At 42.0% G+C, this 24,122-nt stretch overlaps 2 protein-coding genes and 1 long non-coding RNA gene across 10 annotated transcripts in view, besides 3 other annotated features; 1 reads left to right on the top strand and 2 right to left on the bottom strand.

Moving 5' to 3' along the window:
• RPRD1B (regulation of nuclear pre-mRNA domain containing 1B) overlaps positions 1 to 11,940 on the bottom strand; it is a 58,619-nt gene extending 46,679 nt beyond the window's left edge. Inside the window, exons 1-2 of one of the 2 annotated variants that reach the window (NM_021215.4) lie at positions 11,588 to 11,940; positions 5,122 to 5,251 (exon numbers count right to left, since the gene is read on the bottom strand). In NM_021215.4, coding sequence (NP_067038.1) covers positions 5,122 to 5,251; positions 11,588 to 11,738 — 281 coding nt within the window. In that variant the 5' untranslated portion in view covers positions 11,739 to 11,940. Of the gene's footprint in view, positions 1 to 5,121; positions 5,252 to 11,587 lie in introns of those variants that run through there. The other variant, XM_047440346.1, reaches the window with a different exon arrangement.
• Positions 7,579 to 11,580, bottom strand: LOC124904898 (uncharacterized). Its single transcript, XR_007067579.1, has 2 exons — positions 10,281 to 11,580; positions 7,579 to 8,227 (listed from the first exon to the last, which is right to left on the bottom strand). It is a non-coding gene; the product is annotated as an uncharacterized LOC124904898 (long non-coding RNA).
• Positions 11,308 to 11,903: an enhancer, noted in NCBI's record as "NANOG-H3K27ac-H3K4me1 hESC enhancer chr20:36662185-36662780 (GRCh37/hg19 assembly coordinates)". NCBI's record gives its function as "activates a minimal SCP1, AML or CMV promoter by ChIP-STARR-seq in naive H9 embryonic stem cells {active_cell/tissue: H9 hESC(naive)}" and the evidence as "EXISTENCE:reporter gene assay evidence [ECO:0000049][PMID:30033119]".
• Positions 11,904 to 12,499: an enhancer, noted in NCBI's record as "NANOG-H3K27ac-H3K4me1 hESC enhancer chr20:36661589-36662184 (GRCh37/hg19 assembly coordinates)". NCBI's record gives its function as "activates a minimal SCP1, AML or CMV promoter by ChIP-STARR-seq in naive and primed H9 embryonic stem cells {active_cell/tissue: H9 hESC(naive and primed)}" and the evidence as "EXISTENCE:reporter gene assay evidence [ECO:0000049][PMID:30033119]".
• Positions 12,104 to 12,373: an enhancer, noted in NCBI's record as "active region_17854". NCBI's record gives its function as "activates an Ori minimal core promoter by ATAC-STARR-seq in GM12878 lymphoblastoid cells {active_cell/tissue: GM12878}" and the evidence as "EXISTENCE:reporter gene assay evidence [ECO:0000049][PMID:35858748]".
• Positions 12,230 to 24,122, top strand: part of TTI1 (TELO2 interacting protein 1) — a 50,436-nt gene continuing 38,543 nt past the window's right edge. For all 7 annotated transcript variants that reach the window (XR_001754440.3, NM_001303457.2, NM_014657.3 and 4 more), the window contains exon 1: positions 12,230 to 12,282. The gene's annotated coding sequence lies outside the window, so the exon portion shown is untranslated. The remainder of the gene's footprint in view (positions 12,283 to 24,122) is intronic.

Below are 24,122 nucleotides of genomic sequence, written 5' to 3'. Positions count from 1 at the left end.
ACACCCACCACCCACCATTCCTGGAGATACTTGGGACTCCATTCAGGCTAAGACTGGTTTTGTGTACAGTTTCAGGCACAGTGGAAAATGATGCTCAAACCTGTTATAACCACAAAACATTTTCAAAAGGCTTTTACTACTAAAGGCCAAAAGGGGGGTTCTAGTTTAATTAGTGAATATAACTAACCAGGACAGATATTTCCTTGAACATTGTGGTAAATCAAAGTTTTGCTAGATAAGTTTCAAAGTTATACATAAAATATTCAAGAAATCTTTCTACTGATTAGGTTTTGAAGGAAGTAGCTCCAGCGAAATGGAAGTCACTTTGGCATCTGGAATTAGATACAACCAAAGTAATAAAGCCGTTTTATAACAGAAAGAGAAATATTTTCAGGTTGTACTAACTCCAATCTAAACTGAGAAATCTTTAAGTGGAAAAAAAGACTGAACAATCTTTGCCAACAATCTATGAATAAAGTGGAAGATGGCAAATAATTACATACACAACTTAATATTACGTTGAACACTTCATATTTTAATTCTGATTAATAACAAATTCAATCACTTTATTTTTCAATACAGATAGCAAAACTGACCTTTAAGAGTGAAAAATGTATATGATACACACAAACAGAATTGGCTGCTTGACGTGTCAGCTGGACACCTGAGTCCCTGCAAAGCCAGCCTTGGGGGCCTTTTCTTCCTCTACAGTTCTATGGCACTTTTTCAGTACAACCACAGTAATTTGTACAACTCTGTCTTATCTCATGCACAGCAGGCCTATGGTAGGCCTACTAAGGGCAGGAATTCTAAGTATTCCCTACACTTCCAACAGTACCTCATGTAAAGCTGGTTCAGAAAGGAGTTAACACAGAAGGCCAGACTGCTACCCTTAGGGAAGTGGTCTGGGAACTTGGGATTTCCGAGTGTCCCTACCATTTCCTAACTGGTAAGGGTGGTTTACTGGGCCTAAATTGTTTGTGCAAGCAATACGGTTCTTAATGAACACCTGAGCCTGGCGCGGTGGCTGACGCCTGTAATCCCAGCACTTTGAGAGGCCAAGGCGGGCAGATCACAAGGTCAGGAGATCAAGACCATCCTGGCTAACATGGTGAAACTCCGTCTCTACTAAAAAATACAAAAAATTAGCCGGGCATCATGGCGGGCGCCTGTAGTCCCAGCTACTTGGGAGGCTGAGGCAGGAGAATGGCATGAACCCGAGAGGCGGAGCTTGCAGTGAGCCAAGACCAAGCCACTGCACTCCAGCCTGGGCGACAGAGTGAGACTCCGTCTCAAAAAAAAAAAAAAAAAAATGAACACCTGATTTATTTCTGGGAGCTTAGAATTTTGGCAGAGGGTGTCTACATGACCAATCCAATAAAAACTCTGGGCACAGAGTCTTTAATGAGCTTTCCTGGTAGGTTACACATCATACACATCACAACTCAGTGCTAGAGGAATTAAGCGTGTTTGTGGAATAACACTGAGAGAGGACTCGGAAGCTTATACCCAGAGCGCTCCAGTCTGCTGCGGGTACTGCATGCACATCACCCTCTGCTGCTGCTGCTGCTTTGGATCCTTTAGCTGTAATGAATCACTGCCATGACTATGACTACATGATGAGCCCTGTGAGTCATTCTAGGGAATCACCAAACCTGGGAGTGGTCTTGGGGCCCACAACAATAAGTAAATATCATGTGGGTAACTCTCAAATTTATGTCTCCAGAAATCAAGTCTCTACTGAGCTTCAGACTATTTTATCCACCTGCCTATTTGGCATCACTCCTTGGAATATTCACTAGCCACCTCACACTCGGCCTGGCCAAAACAAAACTCGTGATTTCCTCCACCAAATCTTTTCCCCAATCTTCACTTCAGTAAAGGGCACCATCAGTCATTCCTTACATCAAAAACCTAGAAATCGTCTTTGATTTCTCTTTTCACTTACTACCAGCTCCCACTCAACGCCTATAAATCCTATCAGTTTTACACTGGAGAGGTGGGGATCCTCCCACGAAGGAAGCACTCAATAAATGGAAGCTATTAGTATCTTCCCATTGCTTCTGAGTCCTAGGCAATGTCACCTCTAGCCTGCATCACAGCAATATCCTCCAAACTCATGTCCCCGCCCCTCCCTTGGCCTTTACAATCCATCCCTCTACACTAAGCCATTTTTAAAGAGGGATGTTTTAAAAATGTATGTTGGAATATATTGGAATATATCATTCCCCTGGTTAAAACTCTTCAATGACATCCCATGAGAAAAAAATCCTAACTTCCAAGACTTACAGGGTGTATGTGACTGCTGCATGTCCACCTCTCGGACCTCATCTGGATATCACTTTTCCCTTTGTGCACTATATTCTAACCACACCAGCCTTCATTCTGTTTCTCTTAGAAGGCCAAGATGATCTCTGCCTTAAGTTTTTCTTAATAGCTGCTCCCGCTTCGCATGATTACCGCAAATGTCATTTCCTTAGAGGCCTTCCTGAACCACACTACCTGTGAGATCCTACTCTAGAACATCACTCCATTTTACTATGTCCATATTGTCCTGCTCTGAAAGTATCTTGCTCATTTAATTGTCTTTGCCTGCCTTGTTCACTGCTGCTCCCCCCGTGTCTGGATCCATACTTGGCACATAGAAGGCACTCCAATACATGTTGAATGAAAAATGACATGGACAGCTGTCTCCTCACTGGGAAGAAAACAAGGCACTTGTATGAAAAGCAAGTTTGCAGTCTGGTTAATTAAACTGCTATTCAAATCAAATCTATCCTATGAACTTGGCAGCTTTCTCTGACTTGAGAGTTTTTTTTACTGTTTGTTTGTTTTGGGTGTGGAGGTGTCTTTTATCATAAAAATATCCCTCATCAATTTAGTCAACAGTAATGGGTCAACTATCTTTGTTCATCAACTGACCACAGAAAAAGCACACAGAAAGTATATGTTAATTAGGCTACTCCTACTGTGGACGAGCTGCATCACGGTTGAAGCAGAACTGTTGGACTTTCTGTCCCAATAATGGGGTATAAGAAAGGAGATTGGAAACATGGGTATCCTGAATGTAATACCCAAGCAGAATCTTAAAAGAACCAGAATGCAAACAGAAAGGAATTCGGGCTATTTTATTGAGAAGGACCAGGTTTATCTTCCTCACACTGCCACTGAATCTGCCAAGACACCTAAAACCTGGCTAGTTTTTAAGGTGTTCCCAAGAAAAAAGGAATTTTTAACCCTGGTGTTGCCCACCCCCTTTTCCACCCCTTTCTATTTACTTTTTGGTTTCAGGACAGCTAAAGATTACAGATCGTTTGTCTGTTTGTAATTTAGAGACAGGGTCATGCTCTGTTGCTAAACCTGGAGTGCAGTGGTATGATTATAGCTCACTACAGCTTTGAACTCCTGGGCTCAAGCAATCCCCCTGCCTCAGCCTCCCAAGTAGCTAGGACTACAGGTGCACACCACCATGCCTGGCTAATTTTTAAAAAATTTTTTGTAGACACAGGGTCTCACTATGCTGCCCAGGCTGGAATTTTTTAATAACACTGTTATGTTTACTATCCCTACAAGAAATCATTCCAGCCAACTCCCTAGACCAAATCTCTTCCATAATGAGTTAACATTAATTAACTCATTTAACAAATATTTACTGAACGCCTACTGTGTCAGGGCAGACCATAATGTTGCCCAGCTCCTGGGACACCACTTACATGGAGGCTATATAAATGGTATTCCTTCAAGCTACATAACTCAGCAGCTCTGTGCCAGACACTTTACTAGGTGCCTGGAATATAGGAAAAAACAAATGATCCAATGAATGAGCAAATGTGGAACAGGCATTGTACTACATACTTTTAAACATATTGTCTGTCTTTACCCTCACAACTCTTATGAGGGGGAGTGGTATCCTCCCCCTTTAGCCAGTTAGGAAATTTGGGCTCAAAAAGTTAAGTAACACATCCAAGGTCACTCACATAGTGTCTGAGGCAGAGCTACCATCAATTTCTAAGCAACTGTGAACTAAATCTCATCAAAGCAAGAAAATCTGTCTATTTCAGATAGCTCCTCTAGTAGTCTGTTCTAAGCTTACTCTGTTATGAAGATTCAGTATTTTTTTCAAGTTAATAACACATTTTGCTACTTGCGCCCATGTTGATCAAAAGGTGAGCCAGTTATGTAACTTATCCACAAAAACCATCTTTTTCATCTCTAGAAAGCTAGGTGTCATTTCTTTCTCTTGGATTTCTAATTTTATTCCTTCAAACTTTTCAAATCCTGCAATGAAAGCAGGACTTCATTTCTCATTTAAGGCCTTTCACTATATTTTAGACCTAGTAACAATTTATGTTTAACCTACTAGTCTCCCATTCATGTTTCCCAATTCCTTTTGCAAATATCTGTTTATATATTTACTTATAAACATAATATTCTAATGAACGATAGTTTTTCTTTGCTTTTCCTGGGCACCTAATTTAAGCCCACAGAAAGCTTTTGTTTTTACATGAAGTAAAGTAATTTATAAAACTTTTAATCCAATGTATGCTTTCTATGGTATTAGTTGTATGAGTGCCACTCCTCTCTGCCACAAAACACAACAGCACCAGGCTTAATACAATATAGCCAGAGCAAACACCTACTTTCTACACTAATAATTACTATTATTGCAGTTACAGTAATGCCTACTATTTTTAGTAAACTAGACATCTAGAAATCCAGAAGGAAATAAAAAGGAAGGCATTTGGCAATTAATTTCTTGCTATTAAGTTATGTTACTAAAAGGTTCCCTTACTAGTTAGCTTTGTTTTTTGATCATAAGCTGATGAGACAACTCAACCAAACCAAGGAAAATACCATAACCAAGAAATAAATTCAAAAAATGAAAATGAATATATCTAGAAGAAAGATAATGCTAGGCTGAATCTCTCAAATGTATCAGAATGTTTACATGTCTCGATAGTTCTTGAGGGCTCAACAAAACATAAAACCACAATTCGGCCTCCACAACTCTCTGTAAAGTAGGAAGTTGTCAATTTACAAAGGCTATCACAGAAAAGGAAAGAACAAAAAGGTGGGAAAGGCAATGAATTTAAAAACAAATCCAAAAAACAGACAACATACCTGGCAACATGAGAAAAAGCATCCACAAGGACAGATTCAAATTCTCTAGTGAATTCAGGTCCTTTCCTTTTACTGTTTTGGATGACATCATTCGCTAAATACAGAAAAGTAAGCTTTCTATTTGATTTGGCTGAAAAAAAGAAAAGAAAAGAATTTAACTTACACCAAAGAAATTCTCAATTCACAATTCTTTTGCCCTGGGCTGCTCCTAAAAAAACATTAAGACAAGTATTATCTACCTGGGGGGTCAAGTAGATATGTTTAAAAAGACCACCTAAGGAATAGGTTTGGGAATACCATTTCGGAAAAAAAAAAAAGAAAAAGAAAAAGAATGGGCCATCTTCATTGCTGTGTTGTTTAAACCAGGGTAATTAATTGATAGTAAAAATTAAGATAATCCAAAGAGAATTCCTAAAGGATAAGCAGTCAGTGTTAATGTTGAAACTAGGGCTTTTATTTATTCTACTGCAAAAATGAGCAACTTCTAACTCACTTTTAATTATCAAATATTTCAGAATGAAAGACTGAGTTGGCCGGACGCAGTGGCTCATGCCTGTAATCTCAGCACTCTGGGAGGACGAGGTGGGTGGATCATTTGAGGTCAGGAGTTTGAGACCAGCCTGGCCAACATGGTGAAACCCTACCTCTACTAAAGATACAAAAATTAGCCGGGTGTGATGGTGGGCACCTGTAGTCCCAGCTACTCAGGAGGCTGAGGCAGGAGAATCGCTTGAACCCAGGAGGTGGAGGTTGCAGTGAGCCGAGATTGCACTACTGTACTCCAGCTTGGGCAATAGAGCAAGACTCTGTCTCAAAAAAAAAAAAAAAAGACTGAGTTAGGTTTCAATTTTAAAATGGTTTCGCCGAGCGTGGTGGCTCATGCCTGTCATCCCAGCACTTTTGGAGGCCGAGATGGACGGATCACCTGAGGTCGGGAGTTTGAGACCAGCCTGACCAACGTGGAGAAACCCCGTCTCTACTAAAAATACAAAATTTGCCTGGCGTGGTGGCACATGCCTGTAATCCCAGTTACTCAGGAGGCTGAGGTGGGAGAATCGCTTGAATCCGGGAGGTAGAGGTTGTGGTGAGCCTAGATCATGCTGTTGCACTCCAGCCTGGGCAACAAGAGCAAAACTCCGTCTCAAAAAAAAAAAAAAGGTTTCTTGTAATTTTGCTCCTAAACTGAGAATTTCTCTGATACTCCAATAACCATAATCAATAATATAGAAGAATCTCTAGGTGCACCAATAGATATTAGCTCAAATACAAGTATACATTAACACTACACTCTTATTGAAAATTTACACACGTGTGAAATCTAGATATGCAAAATTAGGGCTTTCACAAAAACCATAATTCTCTCTTATTTATATGAAATGTGGTTATTCCCTATTACTCTATATGGTATCATATATTAAACCATAAAAACCTCGTGCAATATGTCTGAGTTACAGTTGCTTTGGGGAACATTACTGAATTCCCTGGCTTCTATGCACATAATTTCTCAACTATAAAGTTACATCCCTACAATTTTTGGTTCCAATTTTCTTTTAAAAGAAATAAATAAGAACATAATTAGATGTTTCAAAACACAAAGTTTTCTCCAATGCTAAAGTACCTGAAAAACACAAGCTCTTTATCAACCTTAACACACCTGAGTAACTCTATTTCTCTCTGAAACCAGTTGTTTCTTTTGAAATGTACAAAGCATTGATATGTCTGACATAGCAGGCATAAGATCTGACATTTTAAAATGTAGCTACAGGAGGCTGGGCACAGTGGCTCACGCCTGTAATCCCAGCACTCCGGGAGGCCAAGGCAGGTGGATCACCTGAGGTCACGAGATCAAGGCCATCCTGGCTAACATGGTGAAACCTTGTCTCTACTAAAAATACAAAAAATTAGCCAGGCGTGGTGGCGGGCGCCTGTAGTCCCAGCTACTCAGGAGGCTGAGGCAGGACAATGGGGTGAGCCCAGGAGGCGGAGCTTGCAGTGAGCCGAGATCACACCACTGCACTCCAGTCTGGGTGACAGAGCAAGACTCTGTCTCAAAAAAAAAAAAAAAAAAAAAAAACAAAACAAAAAAAATCAGCCGGGCGTGGTGCCAGGCGCCTGTAAACCCAGCTACTTGGGAGGCTGAGGCAGGCGAATCACTTGAACCTGGGAGGCGGAGGTTGCAGTGAGCCGAGATCGCGCCAACTGCACTCCCACCTGGGTGACAGAGTAAGAGACTCCGTCTCAAAAAAAAAAAAAAAAATGTAGCTACAGGAGAGTAACCCAAGTTAAAAACATGATTTTAATAGCACATTACAGTTTAAACTGATGAAACTGATGTCTTAAATGCTCATAAAATTAAATATGGATACCCTGAATTGTCTTAACCTTCTGGTAATAACCTAGTTTAGATGGCCAACTGATAAGAATACTAGGAACCTGGAGCTTTCTTCAACTTTCTAATTATTATTCAAAAGCAGAACAAAAGTGTCAGTAGTTACAATATCTACTGTTGCTACAAAGGTATGATTATGGCAAAACGTGCTTTTTTGTTAAAGCAAACCTTGCTCTGCAAAGTTGATGTAAGTGAAACTACTACACCTATAATCCCATGCAAGTTAGCAGATTCGAAAGCAAAACAGAACTTCAACAAAGCAAATTTCATTAAGTGAAGCTTTAAAATTCCATACACTTTATGTTGAAAAAAAAAAAACCTAGAATCCATATTGTAAAATGTCAGTGTGGACATTCAAGACCTGATATATACTTCTCAGTAGACAAACAAGGTATCTAAGGGGCTTGAGACCCAAGGTTTTCACTGTTTACAATGCCAATTAATTTTCATCACCCCAGAACTTAACAATGGGGATTTATTTAGGATAAACTGTATCCCTCCATATTCAACATCCTCAACAGTCAACATAAGCACCATGTGTGTCAAGGTGATATGACAAAACCCTAGAGCTCTTGAGCACACACAGTCACAATACACACAACATGCACACCCCTCCATCCCAATCCTGGGGGACAACTCACTTGTTCAGATGTCCTTCCTATACGACAGAAATAGGTCCTTTCACTCACTACCCATGTCCATTCCAAACTGGTCAAACTAGTTGTTGAGTAAAATTTAAACAACTGGTTAATCAAAACTTTTCACTTGTTTGGCTGGTTTTGACATCTACAGAAAGTCTTAAAGTAATTCTGCAATAAAAGCCCATTACCTACATTCAGGCCAAGATACAAAACACCATTAAAAACATTCATTTAGGAGCACTTTACACCAAAACTAGTCCATAAAGAAGGGGAGACGTTCTACTTAGAACAGAGCTCAAATGGGATAAATTAAAAATTATTCCTAGAAAATGGAAAGACAACACATCAGGAATAGAAGTATTTAAGCAAGAAAAAAAGTTAATTTTTATAAATCTCATATATTTTGAAGGCAACTCAGAGACAGTCTGTGAGCATCTCAGCTACGGAAAATGACTTCACCCTAGGTAGAACCTACAGGGCTAATCAATCTGAACATTAGGGCACAGAATCCTTTTCTTTCAGTGTGGGGGCATTTTCAGTTCATGAAATAAGCCTGGATATTCGGAAGCTAGGTATTGATGCTTGGAAGAGCATCTTTTTTTAACTCTGCACTGTCCAGTAAGTTAGCCACTAGCCACGTGTGGCTATTGGAACACCTGAATTGCAGCTGGTAAAAACTGGAAACTAAATTTTCAATTCTATCTACTTAAAACTTTAGTTCCTTAGTCACACATTTTAAGTGCTCCATAGCCACATATACCAAGCGGCTACCTGTTGGATGGCACAGATAGAAAACATTGCTATTATCACAGAAAATTGTATTAGATAGCGCTGTTTATATCCTTTATGCTGCTATCATAGAAAGTTGTATTGGATAGCGCTGTTTAGATCCTTTACTCAACCACGAAAATTCTATCAGAGACCATGATTTAATTCCTATTTTTAAACTATATAACAGGCACCACGCGATATCCTGTGGTGTTGCAAATAAACAAGAAGGTCTAGTTCCTCTCTCAAAACATAATCTAATGACAAAGATGTAACCAGTTCAAATGAACAGCTAGTAGGAACAAATTAAATGCTAAACTGGTATGATGGGGTGGGAGGCACTCATTAATTCTAATAAATGAAAGCACCACAGTTTGATTGCAGTCAGGTGACCACCTTCACTTATTAAATGCATTGAGGCACTGAGTACATGAAAAAGAACACATTTTGGCATCAGGCAGCCCTGGGCTCATGTCCTAGCTGTATGTCTGTGGACAAGGCACTTAATCCCTCTATACCTTTATCATCTCATCTATAAAATGAGGATAATAATGCTAGCCTACTTGCAACATAAGGCTTTACCACGTAAGATTAGGGATAACGGAGCTTCATACACAAATGTACTCTCTAATTTGCTTTTTTTCAGTAACTCAACTAGGGTGAGGCAAGGAATCAAGAAAGTGTCACAAAAGAAGTGACACTTGGCCAGGCGTGGTGGCTCACACCTGTAATACCAGCACTTTGGGAGGCCGAGGCGGGGGCATCACAAGGTCAGGAGATCAAGACCATCCTGGCTAACACAGTGAAACCCCATCTCTACTAAAAATACAAAAAATTAGCTGGGTGTGGTGGCGGGCCCCTGTAGTTCCAGCTACTCGGGAGGCTGAGGCAGGAGAATGGCATGAACCCGGGAGGTGGAGCTTGCAGTGAGCTGAGATCGCACCACTGCACTTCAGCCTGGGTGACAGAGCGAGACCCCCATCTCAAAAAAAAAAAAACAAAAAAAATGACACCTGAGATGGACTTTAACTGCCTCTTGAGGTCCCACCCAATAGAATTCTGTACAGTGGCAATTCACATTTCAGCACACTCTTCAAATAATTTCTGAATGGCACAGTGGGGTACATGAAGAAGGCCCCATAAACTCCAGGCTCTACCTCTTCCCGGAACTGCCCGAAGGGCTGAGGGGATCCCTATCTCAGTACAGTACGCGATATTTGGGGGCAGTCCCTGCTAAAGGGCTAGAACTGGGTCTCCTGAAAAAAATCATGAAGATTTTGGTGTTTGCCAGCCTGTTGTAGTCTGAGCCTGTTCAGTTCGAAAGCCTTGAAAATACCACTTAGCCACTTCAGTTTCCTCACCTGTAGAGCAGGACATCTGTGGTGTCCCCAACTCACAGATAGTATAGAACACTTGTAAAGCCACTTCGCTATAAAGGCCTACCACATATAGGGTGTCTGGAGCAGCTCTGAGCTTCATTTCTTCAGTCTTCCATTATGAAACTCATCCGGGAGTGTAGGTGTCCATCTTTCCCCACCAGACTGTAAGCAACTTGAAGGTAAAGACCATGCCTCACAGTGAGTAATCAAAAGTCTCATCTCACCATAATCTGCTGAATGCCTACACTGTGCCTCACCCCATGCTAAATGTTCATTTGGATTATCCCGTTTACTCCTCACCACGAGATGAGTCTCAGTTTTTCCTCTTCTGCAAAGTTCCTACTTCATAGGGCTCCGAGAATTTTTTTTAATGGCAATGTATGTAAAGATATCAGTACTGCACTTCGCATGTAATAAAGACATAGTAAATTTCAGTTATCCATTCTGTAGATAAGAAAATTAAGGCACAGACAGGTTAAGTTGCTGGGGTCAGTAAGGCGGCAAAGTCAGGCTTAAATTCTAGGCAGTTGGCAGAGGCAACATGCTGCAAGTGTCCAAGCCAGTGCCTGGCACATAACAGAATGAGTTCAATGAATTGTCTGTCAGAACCTGAGCAGGGCCTGAAATCAATGACAACTGCATGAGAGAGGAGAGGAGAGGAGAGGTAAGGTCTGGGTGGCCCCTTAACCTAAGATGGGAGAGACTACCTACTTCACAGGGCTGTTCTAAGGACTGAGTGCGAGGATACACACAAAGGTCTTAGTATAGTGACTGGTATGAAGTAAAGGCTTTGTAAGGGGTAGCTATCCTTGCCTCCCTCTTACAGATGAGAAAACGGAGACACAGGGAGATGAAGAAACTCTCCCAGTATTATTCAGCTGGCAAATAGCTGAGCCAGGACTCGATCTGCAGAGTCTGACTCCGGAGCCCACTGGCTTTTACTCCAAATACCCAGCACTGGGCCCGACATGCTAGGGCCAGTACGGCAGTGAATGCAGCCGAGATAATAACAGCCACAAATGTCAGGGGGAAACTGAAGGGAAAATGGCTTGATGAACTAGAAGTCTGGACACCTGAGTCCCAGTCCGTGGACCCTCAGGCAAGTACCTTAAACCTTCCCGGGCCTCAGTTTCCTTCTTCGAGAAATGGGGCTAACTTTGTCTCCCATCTCAGAAGCTCGATCAGGCCTGGAAAGCAAGGCTCAATGAAGAGGCTTAGAGGGGCCTAGGTTGTATGTGGGCGAGAGGACAATCCGGGGACCGTCCAGGGGGTGGGGATTTGGTGTTTACCTTTGCGGAGCTCGCGGTGCCACACGGAGACGATGGGTCCCGCGTGCTTGCGGTGGTGGATGAGCCAAAGGGACAGGGTCTGCACGCTCTGCTGAGAGTTGCTCAGCTCCGAGAGCTTCTTCTCCAGCGCCGACTCAGAGAAGGAGGACATGGTGGCGGCAGTGAGGCCCGGCAGGGAGCGGCCTGGGCCGCCCAGTGCGGCGGGAAGAGCGACGGCACGAGGCCGGGGCCTCACCTGACAGGCTGCGGGACTTTTTACCGACTGACAGACTGCCAGGGGTGCGAGAAGGGGGAGGGGATGGGTCTCCGCAGTAACAGCCGCCCGCGCCGCCGCCACAAGATGGCCACCCGACCTCTCACCCTGCCGCGAGAGCGAGGTCAAAGGGCAAGGGCCGGAGCAGAGGGGCACCGAGAGGCGTCGGAGCTCTAGAAAACCGTCCCTTTGGAGGCGGCGGCCGCTCTGAACCTCGCGCAGAGCACTTCGAAGGAGACAGAGCGAGGCAAGGAGAGTAGTTCCCCGGGCCCCCGGAAAGAGCTTTGACCGCTCGAGCCTGCACACCGGCGCAGTGGATCTCGCCGGAACCCTTTTTCCCGCTCCCTCGGAACCTTTCTGGCGCGATACGGCGCGCTACTTAGCGCGTCACTTCCGGCGAGGCAGAGGAGGCGGGAGAGTGAGAGAAAGGCTGGAAGACGAGGTAAGGGAAGAGTGGCGGGAACCAGAGGGAGCCCAGCAGCTGGGACCCTGTAGAGGGGTATCCTGAGGGGACATTGAGTCTGAGAGATCATGATCTGGATATGGGAGGGGGATTTCCTTTCTAATCTGGCGGGCCCCAGGCCGCATCTTTCCTCCATATGTGTTCGGCTCTCTGGCTGTCCCCCAAAACACTTAGTTTTGGTTCTTCCAAGCCACCCACGTGCCCTTTTCACGCCTCCACGCCCTGGCGCTCGTTCTCTGTCCGAAAGTGACATCCCCTTTCTCACCTGGTGAGCTCCTACTCAGCCCCCCGGAGCACCCTTTAATGTCCTGTTTTGACCTTTTAGTCTGTAACAGCGCCGTCATGAAACACACATTTGGGCTCTCGGCTCTTAAGTGGGTTCTCACTCAGGGTATTATTACGTGCTGCTTTTGCCGTCTGCGGGTCCAGTTGACTTTTTCGAACTTAAGTGAGGTGTTAACTTTAGGGAAAAGGTGGAGGGAACTAACTTAGCCTTCCCAATGTGTCTGTTGACCTCATGTTGAGACACACTATTTGAGGCCTGGCGCAACGTCTCTTGCTTGTAATCCCAACCCTTTGGGAGGCCGAGGCGAGAGGATAGCTTGAGGACTGGAGTTCAAGACCAGCCTGGGTAACAGCGAAAATTAGCCAGGCATGGTGACGCTCACCTGCAGTTCCAGCTACGCGAGAGGATACCTTGAGCCCAGGAGTTAGAGGTTACAGTGAGCTATGATCGTGCCACTGCACTCCAGCCTGGGCGATGGAGCGAGACTCTTCTCTGAAACAAAACAAAACACTATCTGAGACTCTAAACCTTGACCCTATTTTTTTTTTAAGTTTTAAATCCCAGGTATCAAAGCAGCAGAGAAATTTTGTTTTTCTTACTGCCACGGGGGTGATGGTAGGGAGTTAAGTTATAGACATAAGAGGGTTTTAAAATTTCCTGATCGTGGTATAACTTCCTAGTTGTGGGCAGACTCTAGTTTAGGAGACGTTCTTCTAGTTGATGCCTGCTTTTGCTCTTATTGCACTGTATTGCAGTTCTTTGCTTACATGCTTTTACCCTTCCTCCAGACTGGAATCATAATCATAGCTAACGCAGTGAGAGGTTACTATGTGCTAGACACAATTCCCACACAGTAACTCATTTAATCCTCACAACAAAGCTGTGAGGTATTATATTATCCCCCTTTGGACAGCGTAGGAAACAGGCTCAGAGAGGTTAAGTGACCTACCCAAGATCACATTACTAAGACTTGAGGGAAGGGGCTGCAACTTAGCCATCTTTTTGGCCCCAGTTCCTGATTTATCAAGTGAGTTAGTGTAAAAGAGGTGAGTAACCTAAAATCATACAGTGAGTATCTAGTCATAACTGAGGGCTTTTGTGTCGAAATCTAGATCATCTTTCCATATTAATAACACTGTCATATACTGAGCACTTTTATACCAAGTCACTGTCTATTAAGCACATTACATACTTTTTAAATTTAATTCTTACATCAGTCTTAGGAGTTGAAATTATTACAATCACTATTTGATAGACGAGAAAATGTAAAGCATGGTTAAGTACCCTATGTACTTGGACATAGTTAGGAAATAGCAGAGCCAGGAGTCAAATTAGGGTTATCTTATGTCTGATCCCAAATTCTTGCCTCCTGAACCAATAGTTTATTCATTCATTCGGAAAATAATTTTTCAGCACCTATGTCCAAAGCACTCTTCTAAGCTAACAGACAAAATCCACGTTCTCAGGAACTTACTTTCTACTGAGAAAGATAGAAAAACAAACATGCAAGTTTAGAATAAGTCAGAAAGTGGTAAGTAACTTCAATAAAAATCAAGGAGATAAGGAGGATAAGGAATGTATATGTGTAGGTGGGTAGTCTTTTACTTATGCTTCTCAGAGAAGGCCTCATTGATAAGATGTCATTTGAGAGACAAGCCATATGCCATTGTTCCAGGAAGAGGGAAAACCAAGTTTATACCATTGTTGGCATTTTGGAGCAACAGCAGAGAGGACAATAAAGCTGGAGTGATATGAACTAGAAGGGTGGCTGGAAATTAGTTCAGAAAAGTACGAAGGGACTGCATCACATGGTGACTTGTAGGCAATAGTATAGACTTTAGATGTTACTCTGAATGAAATGAAGTCCACTGGGCAGTTTTGCACAAAGAAGGAGCATTGTGGCTGTTAGGTAGAAAATAAGACAGTAAGAGTGCAAAGGTAGAAGCAGGAAGGACCAGTTTGGCAGCTGTTGTAGTAACCCAGGTGAAAGGATAACTCAAACCAGGGTGGTATCTGTGGAAGTGGTAAGAAAGGGACAGTTCTGGGGATATTTTAGAGGAAGAGGTAACAGGATCCGCTGATAGATTGGATATGGGGTGTGAAAGACATATGAGAGTTGAGATAGCTCCAAGGGTTTTGGCCTAAGCAACTATAAGAATAGCGCTTCCATTTACTGAATTACAGAAAAGAGTGGGTTTGGAGAGTAAGAGCAAGCATTTGTATTTGGACATGTCCATTTGGAAATGCCTATCTGAGTATAGATGTCTAAGGGGCAGTTGGGTTTATGGGTCTGGAATTCAAGGAAGAGCTATCTGGGTTAGAGATAAAAATGTGAGAGTCATAACGGAATAAGGTGTAAAAAGAGACTGAGTCCTAGGATTCTTCAACATATAGAGGTCTGAAAGGTGAGGATGATATGATTATGTGATTTTTCTTCTTAAGCTTGTTAATAGCTTGTTAGTATTAACAACTCTAATTGATTTTCAAATATTGAGCCAGTCTTGCATCTCTGAAATATACCCCACTTTATCATGGTGTGTGTGTGTGTGTGTGTGTGTGTGTGTGTGTTTTACATACTGCTGAATTTCCTAATATTTTCTTTAGGATTTTTGCATCTATACTCATGAGAGAAATTGGTCTATAGATTTTTTTAATTTTTGTATTGCCTTTGGTTTGGTATCAGGATAATACTGGCTTTATAAAATGGATTGGAAAGTGTTTCTTCTTTTTCTAGAAGAGTATGTGCAGAATTGGTGTTAATTCTTCATTAAATGTTTGGCGGAATTCTCCAATGAAACCATCTTGGTTTGGAGATTCCCTCCACTCCCTGCTTCCCTCCCTCCCTCCTTCCTCCTTCCTCCCTCCTCCCTCCCTCCCTTCCTTCCCTTCTTCCTTTTTTTTCTGGAGTTTTTAAGTGACAAATTCAGTTTATTTAAAAGTTATAAAGCTGTTAAAATAATCTCTTTCCTATTGTGGTTGTGTTTTTTGAGGAATTAACCACTTCATCAAAGTTGTCAAATTTATATGGGTAAAGCTATTTGTGGTATTCCCTGTCTTTGTTTTCTGTTGCTTATAACAGAATACCTGAAACTGGGTAATTTATAAAGAAAAAGGATGTATTTCTTACAGTTATGGAGGCTGAGAAATCCAAGGTCACAGGGCCACATCAGGTAAAAAACTTTCTTGCTGGTGGGGACTCTGCAGAGTCCCAAGGCAGTGCAGGATATCACAGGGCCAGGGGGCTGAGTGTGCTAGCTGAGGTCTGTTTTGCTCTTATAAAGCCACCAGTTCCCATGATAACCCATTAATCCATTTATGAGGGCTTATAAAGACTCCACTTCTCAATACATTGGGAATTAAATTTCAACATGAGTTTTGGAAGGGACGGATATTCAAACCATAGCATTCCCATATTACCCTTTGATGTCTGCAGGGTCTGTAGTACTGTCCCGTTTCATTACTGATATTGGAAATTTCCAGTATCAGTGTCTCGTCTCTTCTCTCTCCTCTCTCTCTCTCTCTCTCTCTTGCTCACTCACTCCCTTGTCAATCTTGCTAGAAGTTTGTCAATTTTATTGACCTTTTCAAAGAACCAGTTATTTATTTCATTGACTTTCTGTGTTTTCTGTTTTCAGTTTTGTCAGTTTCTGCTCCTTATTATTTCTTCTGCTTGCTTTATTTTGCTCTACTTTGTCTAGGTTCTTGTGGTAGGAGTTTACCTTTTTCGTTTGAGACTTTTCCCCTTTTCTAATATATGACTTAGTACTATTAATTTACATCTCAGCATGGCTATAGCTGTATCCACAGATTTTGGTGTGTCATATTTTCATTTTCATTCATTTCCCTATTTTTTTTCTAATTTCCCTTAAGGTTTCCTCTCTGTTCCGTGGATTATTTAGAAACATGTTGTTTAGTTTCCAAGTATTTGGAGATTTTCCTGTTATCTCTGTGTTAGTGATTTCAAGCTTGATTTCATTGTGGCTGGGGAATGTCACTCTGTATGATTTCAGTTCTTTTAAATTTGTTGAGGTTTGTTTTATGGCAGGATAATCATCTGTCTTATGTTCTATGAGCACTTGAAAAGAATGTGGGCTAGGCACTGTAGCTCATGCCTGTAATCTTAACACTTTGGGAGGTCAAGGCAGGAGGATCACTTGAGCCTAGGAGTTCAAGAACAGCCTGGGCAACATGGCGAAACTCGGTCTTTAAAAAATACAAAAATTAGCTGGGCATAGTGGCATGCACCTGGAGTCCCAGCCACTCAGAACGCTGAGGTGGGAGGATTGCTTGAGCTCAGGAAATTGAGGCTGCAGTGAGCCATCATCGAGCCACTGCACTGCAGCCTGAGCAATAGAGTGAGATCCTGTCTAAAAAAACAAATAACAACAACAAAAGAATGTGTAGTCTGCTATTGTAGGATGGAGTGTTCTATAAATGTCATAGGTCCTGTTGGTTGATGGTGGTGGTTTTTCTATATCCTTGTGGATTTTTGGTCTAGTTATCCTATCCATTGTTGAGAGAGGAATATTGAAGTCACCACCATCTATTGTGAATTTGTTTCTCCTTTTAGTTTTATCCATTTTTGTTTCACACATTTTACAGCATATACATTTTAAGATTGCAGTATGTTCTTAGTAGATATACCTGTTATTCATTGTACTCTGTCTCTGGTAATTTTTTTTCTTTTGCTCTGAAGTCTACTTTATCTGGTGCTAATATAGCTACTTCTACTTTCCTTTGATTAATGCTTACATGATAATATCTTTTTCCATCCTTTGATTTTCAATCAGCCTCTATAATTCTGCATAGTGAGTTTCTTATAGACAGCGTGTAGTTAGATCATGTTTTTAAATCCACTCCGCCAATCTCAATCTTTTAATTGATGTATTTAGACCTTTTATGCTTAATACAATTATAGTTGACCCTCTATATTCATGGGTTCCGTCTCTGTAGATTCAGTCAACTGTGGATTGAAAATACAGTAGACCCTTGAACAACACAGATTTGAACTGCGGCCATCTATTTATATGCAGATTTTCTTTCCCTTCTGCCAACCCACCTCCTCCTCAGCCTACTCAAGGTGAAGACAAAGATGAAGACAGACCTGTGTAATGATCTACTTCCACTTAATGAATAGTAATTGTGATTTTCTTTTCTTTCTTTCTTTTTTTTTGAGATGGAGCCTCGCTCTGTCACCCAGGCTAGAGTTCAATGGTGCGATCTTGGCTCACTGCAACCTCCGCCTCCCGGGTTCAAGTGATTCTCCCACCTCAGCCTCCTGAGTAGCTGGGATTACAGGCACCTGCCATCATGCCTGGCTAATTTTTGTATTTTTGTAGAGACGGGGTTTCACCATGTTGGCCAGCCTGGTCTTGAACTCCTGACGTCGGGTGATCCACCCACCTCAGCCTCCCAAAGTGCTGGGATGCAGGCGTGAGCCACTGGGCCCAGCCTGTGATTTTCTTAATAACGTTTTCTTTTCTGTAGCTTGTTTTATTGTAAGAACACAGCATATAATACATACAGCATAAAAAATTTATGTTAAACAACTGTTTATGTTATCAGTAAGGTTTCCAGTCAACAGTAGGCTGTCAATAGTTAAGTTTTTGGGGAGTCAAAATTTATAGAGATTTTTTGACTGCTCGAGGGGGTTGGCACTCCTAACCCCCACATTGTTCAAGGGTCAACTGTATTTGAAAAAAATAAAAAGTAAAAGATAACAATACAACAACAAAAATAATACAGATTTTAAAACAATATAGTGTAACAACTGTTTACATAACATTTGCATTGTGTTAGGTGTTGTAATAATCTAGAGTTGATATAAAATATATGGGAGGATATGCATGGGTTATATGCAAATACTACACTATTTTCTATAAGGGACTTCAACATCCTCTGATTTTGGTATCCATGGAAGTCTTGGAACCAGTCCCTGGTGAATACCGAGAGATGACTATATTTTGTTTCTTTCTGTTTATTCTCTTTTTCATTTATCTGCTTTCTTTTTGTAGCCTTCCTGTGGGTTACTTGAATGTTTTTTAGAATTCCATGTGATTTATCTATGATGTTTCTGAGTATATCTCTTTGTATGTAGCCCTTTTAGTGGTCCCTCTAGGTATTACATTGTGTGTACATAACTTACCTTTACCTAGCAAAGTATAGAAACTTTATTTCCTTTTATGTCTCTTTACTCTGCCCATTTATCATATAAATGTCTTAAACATTTTCTCTACATACATTTAGAACCATGTCAGATGGCATTACAATTTTTGCTTCAACTGTCAAACATAGTTTTGAAAACTCAAGAGGATAAGGAAAGCCCGTTGCATTTACACATATTTTTGTATGCCATGTTCTTTCTTCCCCCTTAATGTTCCAGGATTTCTTATCATTTTCTTTCTGTTTAGAGAACTTTCTTTAGCCATTCTTTTACAGTAAGTCGGCTGGTGACAAATTCTCTTTGTTTTCCTTCTTCTCAGAAGTCTTGATTTCCACTTCATTCCTGATGCACATTTTTTGCTGAGTATATGGTTCTGCGTTGACTGTTTGTTTGTTTCAGCACCTGAAAATTATTGTGTAACTTCTTTCTGGCCTACATGGTTTCTGATGAGATTGTCATTAGAATTGTTTTCTCCCCTCTGGGCATGGTGGCTCACACTGTAATCCCAGCATTTTGGGAGGCTAAGGTGGGTGGATCACTTGAGGCCAGGAGTTTGAGACCAGCCTGGCCAACATGGTGAAATCTACCTCTACTAAAACTACAAAAATTAGCCGGGAGTGCTGGTGCCCACCTGTAATCCCAGGTACTTGAGAGGCTGAGGCAGGAGAATCATTTGAACCTGGCAGGCGGAGGTTGCTATGAATGGATTTGGCACCATTGCACTCCAGCCTTGGTGACAGAATGATACTCTGTCTCAAAAAAAAAAATTGTTTCTTCCCTGTAGACAAGGTATAATTTTTCTCTGGATGCTTTCAATATTTTTTGTTGTTAGTTTTCAGAAATTAAATTATGAAGAGTCTTGGGATAAATTTCTTTGGGGTTCACTCAGCTTCTTGATATATAGATTTATGTCTTTGCCAACTTTGTGGCGTTTTCAGCCATTATTTCTTTTGAGTACTTTTTCAGCCTGCCCTCTTGGTCCCACAGGTTCCCTGAAGCTCTGTTTATATATTTTTCAGTAGTTTTTTCTCTGTTGTTCAGATTGGGTAATTCCTATTGTTCCATCTTCCAGCTCACAGATTTTTTTCTTCCCTCCATTCTGCTGTTGAGCCCATCCACTGAAGTTTTTCTTTGTTACTGAAATTTTCATTTCTAAAATTTTCACTTGTTTCTTTATATCTTCTTTTTCTTTTTCGAGGCTTTCTATTCCTTCATTTGTTTGAAGTATATTCATAATTGCTTATCGATACATTTTAATCGTACTGTTTTAATGTCTTCATCAGATAATTCTGACATCTTTGTCTCTTTGTCATCTTGGTGTTGACATGTGTTGATTGTCTTTTTTTCTTTTTCTTTTTTTTTTTGAGATGGAGTGTCGCTCTTGTTGCCCAGGCTGGAGTGCCATGCCACAATCTCTGCTCACTGCAACCTCCACCTTCCGGGTTCAAGTGATTCTCCTGCCTCAGCCTCCCAAGTAGCTGGGATTACAGGCACGCGCCACCATACCTGGCTAATTTCTATATTTTTAGTGGAGATACGGTTTCACCATGTTGGCCAGGCTGGTCTTGAACTCCTGACCTCAGGTGATCTACCAGCCACAGCCTTCCAAAGTGCTCGGGTTACAGGTGTGAGCCACCACGGCATACCGATTGTCTTTTTTCATTCAGTCTGAGTTCCTCCTGGTTCCTGGTATGAGTGATTTTTATATTGAGATTCGGACATTTCTGTATAATGTTCTGAGACATCTGTTGAGGCTGTTTTGTCTGTTTAGGCTGTTTAGTCTAATGTTTAGACTAAACAATCTCTGACACCATTCCTGGTAGGAGAAGGGGGTCCGTACCTCATCACTGCCAGGTGGAGGTAGAAGTCCAAGTTCCTCACTCAGCCTCCATTGACACCCAAGAAAAAGGTCTCCCCACTACTGCTGAGTGGAGGTGTACTGCTGGGTGGGTGTGGCAGTCCCAACTCCCCACTTGGTCTCCACTGACATTGGAGTGGAGGTGGCATCATTACCACTGGGCAGTGGTGAAAGTCCTGACTAGGTGTCCTGTGATGCTACCTCATTACTGCCAAGTAGAAGTGGAAGTTTAGGCTCCCCGTGTGGTCTCCACTGACACTGGGGCTGGTGGGGATGGAATGCCTGCTCCTACTTTGTCTTCCTTCACACCATCCCTGCAGGAGTGTTGAGGGTGCCTCATTACAGACTTATGAGAGTGGGAGTCTAGGCTCTCCAATCAGCCTTTGCCACCGTGGGTGGAGGCCGCCTTATTTTCTGTAGTGTTTGGCTGGAGTAGAGCGTTTGTTGTCCAAAAGTTTTTTGTCTTGCGAGGGTGCCCATTCCCCTACTCCTTTGGCTAGAGAGAGCAGGTTTTTGTTGGGGTTTTTGTGTCTGTGCCCATTGGTGCTTCCAGGTTGCCAGCTTCTTCAGCTCCAGGGCTTGGGTCTATGAGGCAGAAAGAAAACCTGGGGAACTCAGCACTGTGTCACTCCCCAGGTTCTGGGGTCCCTAACCAGTCTGCTTTCTTCTTGTATTTGCTTTATATATAATGTCCAGGGGTTTTAGTTATACTTAACAAAAAGAATAGGGAAATGTATGCCTACTCCATCTCCCGAGAAGCTTAAGTTTTCTATTTGTATTCATGTGTGTGTGTGAACAGAATTTTTGTTTATATTAATATTTATAAATAAGTAGAATATGCAAACATACTTTAGTTACCTGAAGAACTTACCCAGTTTCCAGTGCCAGGTCATAAATCGGGGGAGGGCAGGAGGTCATTTGTATATATATTCTGTGTACACCCTCTTCTAAGTTAAGAATCCCTTTTTTAGAAATGTACTGTCTAGCAAAAAAGGTCCTGTCTAGTGGAGGGAACAGGCACATAGTATTAGTGTAATACAAGCCACAGCTTCACATATTTTCTATAAGGGACAGCTGTAAACTAAGCATTATGTGAGCCTAGAGTAATTTCCGGAAATATGTATGGGAAGTCTCCTTGATTCCCCTCCTCCGCATGTTCTTCCTGTTCTGCAGTACACTTCCCTTACAGTGTTAGCCTCTCTGGTTAACATTGTATCTCTCTTCCCTTGTCAAGAATTTAGCACACTGTATGGGCAAATAGTATATGCTAAGGAAACATTTCTAGATAGAGGGAAAGATGAGTAGCAATCAACAAAACTTCAGAATATGCTGAAGGGTTAATGTTTATCCAGCTTCTTTTACTTATTTATTAAACAAACAGTGAGTGGGAACTGCTTGGCAGACAGCAGCAGATGCTGGGGAAACCACAAGTAAAGCTGTAACACTATACCATTCAGCTGGGAAGAGAAATAAACTCATCATTTTAACCCAAGATAGTAGTCCTCCAGTGTACTCTGAACACTGCAACCAGATGGATTATTGAACAAGAACCTATTTCATCATACGACTTGTTCTTCAGAAGGGAAAGCACATAGAGAATATATACAGTGCAAGGTTCCCACACCTCAGTGGCCATGGGACTGACCTTGCAAAGTTTTAAAATTGTAGATTCCCAAGCATATCTGCTCCCCCACCACATTGATTCTGATTCCGTAGATCTGGTGTGGAGCCCAGGAATCTGTAGTTAAATTGTTCCTCCTTGATTCTGATAAACAGCCAGGTTGGGAACCTCTGGTATAGTGGAAAGAGTACATACAGCCTTTGGAGTCAGGCGGGCTTGAGATGAATCCCAAGTCTGACACCTGCTTGCTGTGTGGACATCACTGAACCTCTCTGAGCCTTGTGCTGCTCAGCTTGTGGATGAGGAATACAATAAATACCTAGCACATTGCCTGATGTATGATGGGGGTTTTTTCAACAACAAAAGAAAAATGCTTTCCTCCTATTCAAGAACTTGTATTGGCGATTCTTACATCTGAACTCCTATCTCTGGGCTCTAAACCCAGTCGTTCTTTCCATAGGCTAGTTATTCAAAGGTGGAAATTTTGGAGATTTTCTTATCCATAAGTTTATTTTATATTGAAGAAGATAAAATTCATGGAAATCACACAGCCAGGTACTGTAAGAGCCAGGGCTAGAACCCAGATCAGTCCTCCAGTGTACTCTGAACACTGCAACCAGATGGATTATTGAACAAGTACCTATTTCATCTTACGACTTGTTCTTCAGAAGGGAAAGCATGTATAGAGAGAAAATATACATGTTCCCTCTGTCCCAGTTCTGGAAATAGTCTAAAAGTGGGCTGGAGTACAACCAAATCTAGAATTATGATTACCCCATCAGAATGAATCTAGCAGGACCCTCCCAGTGTAGACGAGATCAACTACCTGTAGGAAAAACTCACCCCAAGAGAAGAAGAGCATGGCAGGTTTTATCTAGAATCCGATTCGGAATAGCTGATATCAGCACTCTACAAATGACAGAACCAGATCTTGCATTATGACCACTAATTCAATGAGCATTTATTGAATACCTACTGTGTGCCAAAAGCAATTAAGAAACCAGTCAAAAATCACTGATTCTAGTATTCTAGTGAAAGGAGAGAAACAGTAAACAAACAGGTAGATGATCTGGTTTGACAGCTGTTGTGAAGTGCTAAGGAAGAAAATTTTAAAGGCAAGGAAAGGAGATGAGGAGTAAGCATGGGTAGCAGTGTTAATAGGGGTGATCAGACAAGGCGTCACTTGAGCAAAGCCCTGAAAGTGGTAAAGGAGCGAGCCCTGAGGACATGGGGGAGAGAACAGCAAGTGCAAAGGCCCTGACCAAATGATTTCATCTGAATGGATGTGTGAGGCCTGGCTCACCTGCCACAATGGCATCTCTGTCTCATCTCTGCCTTTATTAGGTGCTATGACTTTTCTCCCTTCTGGCCTTTGCTTGTGACAGGCCTTGCACCTTGAGCAGCCTTCTCACATAGCCCAAAGTGTATAGTACCCCAGCTCAACACAGATCCTTCTCCCTCTTCCTTGTTCGTATTCATTCTGTTTCCAAATTCCTTTTGCACTTTTTCCCCTCCCTTTTTCACTTCTTGATTGTGTGATACAGTAAGTACCTTGGGATCTAAGTATCTGTAAAGTATAACACCGTCTCCTGTACAGATTGTTCCATTTGTCTTCACCACCTTTACACCATGGCCCAGGGATCTTACTTATAGCCCACCCCTGTTACAAGTTAGGTAGAGGGGAGGGGAATAGGCTTGCCGGGGGCAGTGAGTTCATTCATGCTGTCCAATCACAGATCTCATCTCCCACCTCTCCAGTGCCTACTTGCCAACTACTTTCCAGGACCACAGTGGAGGGCCACTAAACTAGAAAGGGATTAGGTGTCCATTAGCAGTCAAGAACTGTTTGCTCATGCTTATGTTTATTCATGTTTATTCAGTCACTCTGAGC

Source organism: Homo sapiens, chromosome 20 (assembly GCF_000001405.40).
Source record: "Homo sapiens chromosome 20, GRCh38.p14 Primary Assembly".
NCBI lineage: Eukaryota > Metazoa > Chordata > Mammalia > Primates > Hominidae > Homo > Homo sapiens.
The sequence above is the reverse complement of the archived record's forward strand: the minus strand, read 5'-3'. Positions and strand labels throughout refer to the sequence as shown.